General features: G+C 41.1%; 1 protein-coding gene across 1 annotated transcript in view; it reads right to left on the reverse strand.

Moving 5' to 3' along the window:
- The window catches only part of ANKRD55 (ankyrin repeat domain 55), a 133,651-nt gene extending 123,654 nt beyond the window's left edge, over positions 1-9,997 (reverse strand). Inside the window, exons 1-2 of the mRNA NM_024669.3 lie at positions 9,908-9,997; positions 9,523-9,613 (exon numbers count right to left, since the gene is read on the reverse strand). Of these exons, the coding sequence (NP_078945.2) occupies positions 9,523-9,580 (58 nt within the window). The 5' untranslated portion in view covers positions 9,581-9,613; positions 9,908-9,997. The remainder of the gene's footprint in view (positions 1-9,522; positions 9,614-9,907) is intronic.

Genomic DNA, 9,997 nt, shown 5'->3' on the forward strand with positions numbered 1-9,997 from the left:
AAAAGAGCTCCTGAAGGAAGCACTAAACATGGAAAGGAACAACTGGTATCAGCCACTGCAAAAACATGACAAATTGTAAAGACCATTGATGCTAGGAAGAAACTGCATCAACTAACAAGCAAAATAACCAGCTAACATCATAATGACAGGATCAAATTCACACATAACAATATTAACCTTAAATGTAAATGGGCTAAATGCTCCAATTAAAATACACAGACTGCCAAATTGGATAAAGAGTCAAGACCCATCAGTGTGCTGTATTCAGGAGACCCATCTCACATGCAGAGACACACATAGGCTCAAAAGAAGATCTACCAAGCAAATGGAAAACAAAAAAAGGCAGGGGTTGCAATCCTAGTCTCTGATAAAACAGACTTTAAACCAACAAAGATCAGAAGAGACAAAGAAGGCCATTACATAATGATAAAGGGATCAATTAAACAAGAAGAGCTATCCTAAATATATATGCACCCAATACAGGAGCACCTAGATTCATAAAGCAAGTCCTTAGAGAACTACAAAGAGACTTAGACTCCCACACAATAATAATGGGAGACTTTAACACCCCACTGTCAACATTAGACAGATCCATGAGACAGAAAGTTTACAAGGATATCCAGGAATTGAACTCAGCTCTGCACCAAGCGGACCTAATAGACATCTACAGAACTCTCCACCCCAAATCAACAGAATATACATTCTTCTCAGCACCACACCGCACTTATTCCAAAATTGACCACATAGTTGGAAGTAAAGCACTCCTCAACAAATGTAAAAGAACAGAAATTATAACAAACTGTCTCTCAGACCACAGTGCAATCAAACTAGAACTCAGGATTAAGAAACTCACTCAAAACTGCTCAACTACATGGAAACTGGACAACCTGCTCCTGAATGACTACTGGGTACATAATGAAATGAAGGCAGAAATAAAGATGTTCTTTGAAACTGATGAGAACAAAGACACAACATACCAGAATCTCTGGGACACATTTAAGGCAGTGTGTAGAGGGAAATTTATAGCACTAAATGCCCACAACAGAAAGCAGGAAAGATCTAAAATTGACACCCTAACATCACAACTAAAAGAACTAGAGAAGCAAGAGCAAACACATTCAAAAGCTAGCAGAAGGCAAGAAATACCTAAGATTAGAGCAGAACTGAAGGAGATAGAGACACAAAAAACCCTTCAAAAAATCAGTGAATCCAGGAGCCGCTTTTTTGAAAAGATCAACAAAATTGATAGACCACTAGTAAGACTAATAAAGAAGAGAGAAGAATCAAACAGATGCAATAAAAAATGATAAAGGGGATATCACCACTGATCCCACAGAGATACAAACTACCATCAGAGAATACAATAAACACCTCTACGCAAATAAACTAGACAATCTAGAAGAAATGGATAAATTCCTGGACACATACACCCTCCCAAGACTAAACCAGGAAGAAGTTGAATCCTTGAATAGGACAATAATAGGCTCTGAAATTGAGGCAATAATTAACAGCCTACCAACCAAAAAAAGTCCAGGACCAGACAGATTCACAGCCGAATTCTACCAGAGCTACAAAAAGGAGCTGGTACCATTCCTTCTGAAACCATTTCAATCAACAGAAAAAGAGGAAATCCTCCCTAACTCATTTTATGAGGCCAGCATCAACCTGATACCAAAGCCTGGCAGAGACACAACAAAAAAAGAGAATTTTAGACCAATATCCTTGATGAATATTGATGCAAAAATCCTCAATAAAATACTGGCAAACCGAACCCAGCAGCACATCAAAAAGCTTATCCACCATGATCAAGTTGGCTTCATCCCTGGGATGCAAGGCTGCTTCAACATACACAAATCAATAAACGTAATCCATCATATAAACAGAACCAAAGACAAAAACCACGTGATTATCTCAATAGATGCAGAAAAGGCTTTCGACAAAATTCAACAGCCCTTCATGTTAAAAACTCTCGATAAATTAGGTATTGATGGGACGTATCTCAAAAAAATAAGAGCTATTTATGATAAACCCACAGCCAATATCATACTGAATGGACAAAAACTGGAAGCATTCCCTTTGAAAACTGTTACAAGACAGGGATGCCCTCTCTCACCACTCCTATTCAACATAGTGTTGGAAGTTCCGGCCAAGGCAATCAGGCAGGAGAAATAAATAAAGAGTATTCAATTAGGAAAACAGGAAGTCAAATTGTCTCTGTTTGCAGATGACATGATTGTATATTTAGAAAACCCCATCGTCTCAGCCCCAAATCTCCTTAAGCTGATAAGCAACTTCAGCAAAGTCTCAGGATACAAAATCAATGTGCAAAAATCACAAGCATTCTTATACACCAACAACAGACAAACAGAGAGCCAAATCATGAGTGAACTCCCATTCACAATTGCTTCAAAGAGAATAAAATACATAGGAAACCAACTTACAAGGGATGTGAAGGACCTCTTCAAGGAGAATTACAAACCACTGCTCAACAAAATAAAAGAGGACACAAACAAATGGAAGAACATTCCATGCTCATGGATAGGAAGAATAAATATGAAAATGGCCATACTGCCCAAGGTAATTTATAGATTCAATGCCATCCCCGTCAAGCTACCAATGACTTTCTTCACAGAATTGGAAAAAACTACTTTAAAGTTCATATGAAACCAAAAAAGAGCCCACATTGCCAAGACAATCCTAAGCAAAAAGAACAAAGCTAGAGGCATCACGCTACCTGACTTCAATCTATACTACAAGGCTACGGTAACCAAAACAGCATGGTACTGGTACCAAAACAGAGATATAGACCAATAGAACAGAACAGAGCCCTCAGAAATAATACCACACATCTAAAACCATCTGATCTTTGAGAAATCTGACAAAAACAAGAAATGAGGAAAGGATTCCCTCTTTATTAAATGGTGCTGGGAAAACTGGCTAGCCATATGTAGAAAGCTGACACTGGATCCCTTCCTTACACCTTATACAAAAATTAATTCAAGATGGATTAAATACTTAAATGTCAGACCTAAAACCATAAAAACCCTAGAAGAAAACCTAGGCAATACCATTCAGGACATAGGCATGGGCAAGGACTTCACGTCTAAAACACCAAAAGCAATGGCAACAAAAGCCAAAATTGACAAATGGGATCTAATTAAACTAGAGAGCTTCTTCTGCACAGCAAAAAAAAAACTACCATCAGAGTGAACAGGCAACCTGCAGAATGGGAGAAAATTTTTGCAATCTACTCATCTGACGAAGGGCTAATATCCATAATCTACAAAGAACTTAAACAAATTTACAAGAAAAAATCAAACAACCCCATCAAAAAGTGGGTGAAGGGTGTGAACAGACACTTCTCAAAAGAAGACATTTATGCAGCCAACAGACACATGAAAAAATGCTCATCATCACTGGCCATCAAAGAAATGCAAATCAAAACCACAATGAGATACCATCTCACACCAGTTAGAATGGCAATCATTAACAAGTCAGGAAACAACAGGTGCTGGAGAGGATGTGGAGAAACAGGAACACTTTTACACTGTTGGTGGGACTGTAAACTAGTTCAACCATTGTGGAAGACAGTGTGGTGATTTGTCAAGGATCTAGAACTAGAAATACCATTTGACCCAGCCATCCCATTACTGGGTATATACCCAAAGGATTATAAATCATGCTGATATAAAGACACATGCACATGTATGTTTATTGCAGCACTATTCACAATAGCAAAGACTTGGAACCAACCCAAATGTCCATCGATGATAGACTGGATTAAGAAAATGTGGCATGTATACACCATGGAATACTATGCAGCCATAAAAAAGGATGAGTTCATGTCCTTTGTAAGGACATGGATGAAGCTGGAAGCCATCATTCTGAGCAAACTATCGCAAGGACAGAAAACCAAACACCACATGTTCTCACTCATAGGTGAGAACTGAACATTGAGAACACTTGGACACAGGGTGGGGAACACCACACACCCGGGCCTGTTGTGGGGTAGGGGGAGGGGGGAGGGATAGCATTAGGAGATATACCTAATGTAAATGACGAGTTAATGGGTGCAGCATACCAATATGGCACATGTATACATATGTAACAAACCTACACACTGTGCATATGTACCCTAGAACTTAAAGTATAAAAGAAAACAAAAAACAAACAAAAAAACCCCTGCACATCTGTGCGTGGGAACTTTAAAAATCCACAACACAATGGAATAAGAGCTTGATTGTGAAAATAAATGTTTCATTAATTTGATTTTCCATTGATGTCTTTTTTTTTTTTTATTAAACCTTATTGCTGGCCAAGGAAAAGACATTCTGCAGTAGAAAGAACACCGGTTTTGAAGTGAAACAGATTTAGCTTGGAATCCTAGCTTTGCTGTTTTACTTTGTGACAACATTGGGTAGGTCATAACCTTTTTGAATTTCCTCATCGATAAAAGGGGGTCATATGTGAAGCTGATATGAGGATTATATGAGCTAGTCTGTGTGCAGTCCTTAGGACAGAGCCTGGATCTGCTAAATGCTCCATAAACATTCGCTCTTGTCAATATGTATCCATGTAAAGCCCTGCACAGAGTCTGCACCAAACAGATGCTCCCCGCTTCCCCCACCTCTTACTTGCCAATTTTTCTCCTAGCTTAAATGAGAATGGATTTTACCAAAAACCGAGTCACAGTGTTGCGTGCTTTCTGGGATCTGACCTCTTCTCACTCCCTGCAATGGGTTGAATGGTGGCCCTAAAGACATGTTCTAACCTCTAATCCTGGAACCTGTGGCTATTCCCTTACATGGCAAGAGAGTGACTATGACCTTATATCTGAAAGGATGTGACTAAGCCAAGGACTTTGAGAGGAGGAGTTTATCCTGGATTATCTGGGTGGTCCCTAAATGCAATCACATGCATCCTTAAAGGAGAGGCAGAGGAACTTTGAAACAGGTACACAGAGGAGCGATGCACACAGACGAGGCCAAGTGAAGATGGTGGCAGAGACCAGAGTGATGAGGCCACAGCAGCCAAGGCTGGAAGGACCAGGGAAGATTCTTTCCTAAAGGTTCTAGGAGAAGGCCCCCAGCTGACTTTTTTTTTTTTTTTTGAGGTGGAGTCTTACTCTGTCACCCAGGCTGGAGTGCAGTGGCGCGATCTTGGCTCACTGCAACCTCCGCCTCCTGAGTTCAAGCAATTCTTGTGCCTCAGCCTCCCAAGTAGCTGGGACTACAGGCGCATGACACCACATCCAGCTAATTTTTTATTTTTACTAGAGACAGGGTTTCACCATGTTGGCCAGGCTGGTCTCAAACTGTTGATCCTAGGTGATCTGCCCACCTTGGCTTCCCAAGCTGCTGGGATTACAGGCATGAGCCACTGCACCCGGCCTGCTGCTGACATCTTGATTTCAGACTTTTGGGCACCAGAACTGTGAGAGGATAAATTTCTGTTGTTTTAAGCTACCCAGCTTGTGATAATTGGTTACAGCAGCACAGAGACAATCACACACTCTATTAATCTGGGCTAGAAGACAAAGCCCTTCCTCTCTTTTTCCAGCAACTCGACAAGAGAAACGACCTGTGCAAGAGGGTGGACCACAGCCCACACAGGTGTGTGCAAACACACCGCTCAGCCTCGTCAGGCATATTTCCTCAGAGACCCTGGCACGGCCAGGCCCTCCTCACCCCCAACAATACAGAAGAGTGGGTGAGGCCCTGAGGCTACCCATCCCCCCACCTCCCGCCGACCCCTCGCCTGTTTTTTTTTTTTTTTTTCCCTGTTTTCTCTCTCAGGTTTGGGATTCTTTCAGGCGCAGCAAAACTTTTCTTTCCACAAGTCGTGACAAAGCTTACAATGCAAGTATCTTCAGTTACATAATATGTAGACTTTAGCAGGAACCTCTGTGTTCTGTAGTAAATGGCTTTACTACAGGTCGCTTCCTGCGTGTGTGGGCTTTGAGAGGGAACACAGCTGGAAAGAACACGTGGGACCAGAAGAGATGTTGCTATGGTGAAAGCTGAAGGCACAAAAGAGAGTCGAGAGTTCTGAAGACCCAGGCTTCCTCCCTCACAGTTTTGCAAAGCCAGCCAGAGACCATGCCCCTGGCCAGTCAAATGATCTGATCGTTGGGCCTTCCAGCAGCTCTGTGAATATGTAATATAGTATTATCCACATTTACAGTCAAGGAGACAGAAGCCAGTGGAGATCAACTAGTTTGTGCAAGTTCATGTAACTAGGAAGAGGGCAGAGACAGGACTTGAGCAAATGACCATCTGTCACCAAGACCCTGGCATGCCTCGTTGCCTCTAGCTAAAGAGAAATATAGGAAAATGCATGTGGAGGGGTTCAGTCTTACCAAACCCACCTCGTTGGAGCCCTGAAGGTCCTTCTGCATCATATTCTTCCACCATTCTCTGGGCAGCCATGAGCCAGAGTCAGTGCTAGGCCAGGGATTGGCCATGTGCAGGAAGCTTCCTATTGCCCTGTTGTATGGATGGAGAACACCTGGGCCTCAGTCCCCTCTGTTGCTATTTAGTGGGGTGTTGTTATTATTATTAGGAAGGACCCAACTTTGAACCTCTCTGTGCTTTAGTTCCCTCATCTGAAATGTGGAAGAGGGGTAGGTTGGATGACTGGTTCTGCATCTTTGCTGTCCATGAGAACTTCCCAAGGAGTGTTGGTTGGGCCAACCACTGCAGTTAAACTGGAATCTCCCTGGGTGGGATGCAAGCATCAGCATTTTCAGAATTTCTTCAGATGATTCTTTTTTCTTTTTTTTGAGACAGAGTCTTGCTCTGTCGCCAGGTTGGAGTGCAGTGGCCTGATCTCAGCTCACCGCAACCTCCACCTCCCAGGTTCAAGCGATTTCCTGCCTCAGCCTCCCGAGTAGCTGGGACTACAGGCGTGTGTCACCATGCCCAGCTAATTTTTGTATTTTCAGTAGAGACAGGCTTTCACCCTGTTGGCCAGGATGGTCTCGATCTCTTGACCTTGGGATCTGCCCACCTCGGCCTCCCAAAGCACTGGGATTACAGGCGTGAGCCTTGCGCCCGGCCCAGATGATTCTTAAGTACAGCCAATGTGAGAACCAACAGGTTACTTGATTGCTAAGATTCTTCCAGCTGCAATGTCTTCTGTCCCCATCTGCATGTAAAGACAGTACTGCTAGGGTTCACTTATCCAGACAGTAACGATTCATGAAAAACCCTCAACTAAAGCCCCATGTTCAACTTTTCCCGAGAAAGTCACCTCCCTTTGGTTTGTCCAACAATATAGTATTTAAAATCTGTATAATGGTCTCAACCCTCATGGTCTTTCATGCTTTTAAGAAAGAGGAAGGATTAATGGGTAATAAAACTATTCAGGAATGGCTTAGTTAATTATTATTCTAGGTCTTGCTATAAATGGTATCCTAGGGTTCTGAAAAAAATAATTAATGTAATTTAGTCATCCAGCACTAAGCCCTCATTTGATCTGAGGACTGCTACATTCAGGCTGAAGGTAGAGAGATGAGTAGTCTTTTGCACTTCAGAAACTCCCAGTCCAAGGTGATAATAACAACAGCAATAATAATAACAGCTGCAGCCAAAATGGGAAAATACTTATTGAATATCAGGCATTGCTAACAGGTGCTTTTTATATGTTATTATTTTAGATCCTCACAACAACCCTGCTAGGTAAGCATCATTTCCTTCATTGTATTCCTGGGGAAACTAAGGCCCAGAGAGGTTAGGTAACTTGCCAAGGTCACACAGCTAAGAAGTAGATGATCTGCCATTCTGATCTACGTCTATAAGATTTAAAATCCCATGCTCTTTCCATCATATGATAAAACCTCTAGAAAGAGAGAAAGGATTGAGAAATAGAGATAAAGATGGCAGGGAGAGGGTTAACTTCCATGGGAGAGAATCCGGCCCAGGTGGAGGAATTGCTGTGAATTGCTCACATGAAAGGTGTTAAAAGAAAATCAGTCTTGTAATTCTGTATCTTAACTATGTTTGGGGCTCAATCCTGTTAGAAGGTACAGCACTGGAACATGTAAATTCATTATGAAGAGCTAGTTCTTCTTCAGTCAGTCCCAGCTCCCTCCAATTAGTCTTCAAAAATAAACCCATTGTATGTTTCGTGGCTTAGCAACATCATTTTTCAGCCAGTGTGAGCTCTTTGGTTCTTAGCAGATTTTCACTTTTACTGACTGCCATCAGTGATATAAAATGTACCAGGAGGAGAGGATGGTGGTGGGCACAGCTGTGACAACGCCTTTCTCTATGCTGTTCAGATCCAAACACGGTATGAGCCGGCACGTTCTGAAGGCGCGCACACACACACACACACACACACACACACACACACACACACACATACACATACACAAACACTATTCCAAATGAGCTAAGACCTGGAGAACACACTATACACATATATACATTAGCTAACTCAGGAATCTAAATATAAATTTATTTTTGGAGAAACCCCCTGGGCTAAAATAATTCACCCACAAAGCCAGATGTAGCTTGAGGGGTAATAAACATGCTATGGCCTAGAGCAGGAAAAGGGAAAAAAGAATGAAGCAGTACATTTTCTTAATGAGGCTTTTTCAAACCACCATTTCATGTTGTAGCCAAAACAGATAAAATCACCAAAGGAACTTAGGATCTTGAAGAATATTCAGAGACTGTAGAAAGTGGTTTAAATAATAGATATTTAAGAAAAGATTCTAAAAAATATTTATTATGTTTATAAAATGGAAATTTCATGTTTATACTAAAAAAAGATTTACTATTACACATAAGTATTACACGAAGATGTATATAAACACATTGCATATGCAAAATGTATACACATAGACCACATGGCCAAATATGTGATATTATAAGGATAAGTTGATCTCACAGCAACATTTTGATGTGGAAAATTACCTCCACTCCAGAAATTATAAGTAAGGAAGATATACCCTGGCATTGCAAATAATAGCATAGGGATATGTCATTACACAACCTTGGATGAGATAACATATCAACCCGACATAAATACAGGCAACATCTATTCCTGAAAGGAATAAAAAAATGCTTACGAAGATACAGCAATGAGATACTGGGCTAATCGAATGACAAAAAAAATGTGATGTGTTCTTACATTGCTTACCCTAATTTTTAAAAAAGATTTGGAAAAAACAGAATAAAGATGACACTATCTGAAATAGTTGGTGTGCTTGAAATCCAGTTTTTAAAATTTGAAGGTAGGAATACTTCAACAAGATCATAAGCTTATACAACAGATCATAAGCTTATTTTTCTGTTTCAGATGCTTATCAAACTAGAAGTGAACATTTTGAACAGGTTTGTTTTCTAGGTGAAATCCTCTTTCCACATCCTACATAGCAAATACTCATGCACACCCACGCACATGAACACACACACACACACACACACACTTCTCTTTCTCTCCTTACAACTGTAAATCCATACCATGAGACTAAGGATGCTAACAACCAAAGAATGTGTTAAAGCAGCATTTTACCTCTTTGCTGATCAAACACAGAAGGGGTGCTGAAATCCATGGTAGCCTGTCTCATCATTTACCATCAGAATGGCAAAAAGCATCCAGGTCTCTAGAGAGGAGAAAACACCATCTCAAACCTTACTGTCAACATGACAGTCAGAGGCAGCATCGTTTGCCAAGACCTCTGTTTCAGGATTAAATGTGCATCAGAGCTGCAGGTTGTTGTCAAGGCAAGGTGATGAAAATAGGTAAATGCTATTCCTGTAAATACCTGCTAGGAAAAGAGTTACTCTATGGCCTCATTCATCAGCTGTACATGGGCATAATACACCCTCCACCCCCAAATCAATAAACACAATTACTCAAACTCCAAAAAGATAGTAAAATTGTATGGGCCACCTGCCTTGGATCTGGGCTGGAAAAACACAGCAGATCACGGAGCTTCAGCAGCTGGAATGTCGCTTTACACCAACAGAAATCTGAATGGGTGAGT

The sequence above is a fragment of the Homo sapiens genome, chromosome 5 (assembly GCF_000001405.40).
Source record: "Homo sapiens chromosome 5, GRCh38.p14 Primary Assembly".
In the NCBI taxonomy this organism is placed as follows: Eukaryota; Metazoa; Chordata; class Mammalia; order Primates; family Hominidae; genus Homo; species Homo sapiens.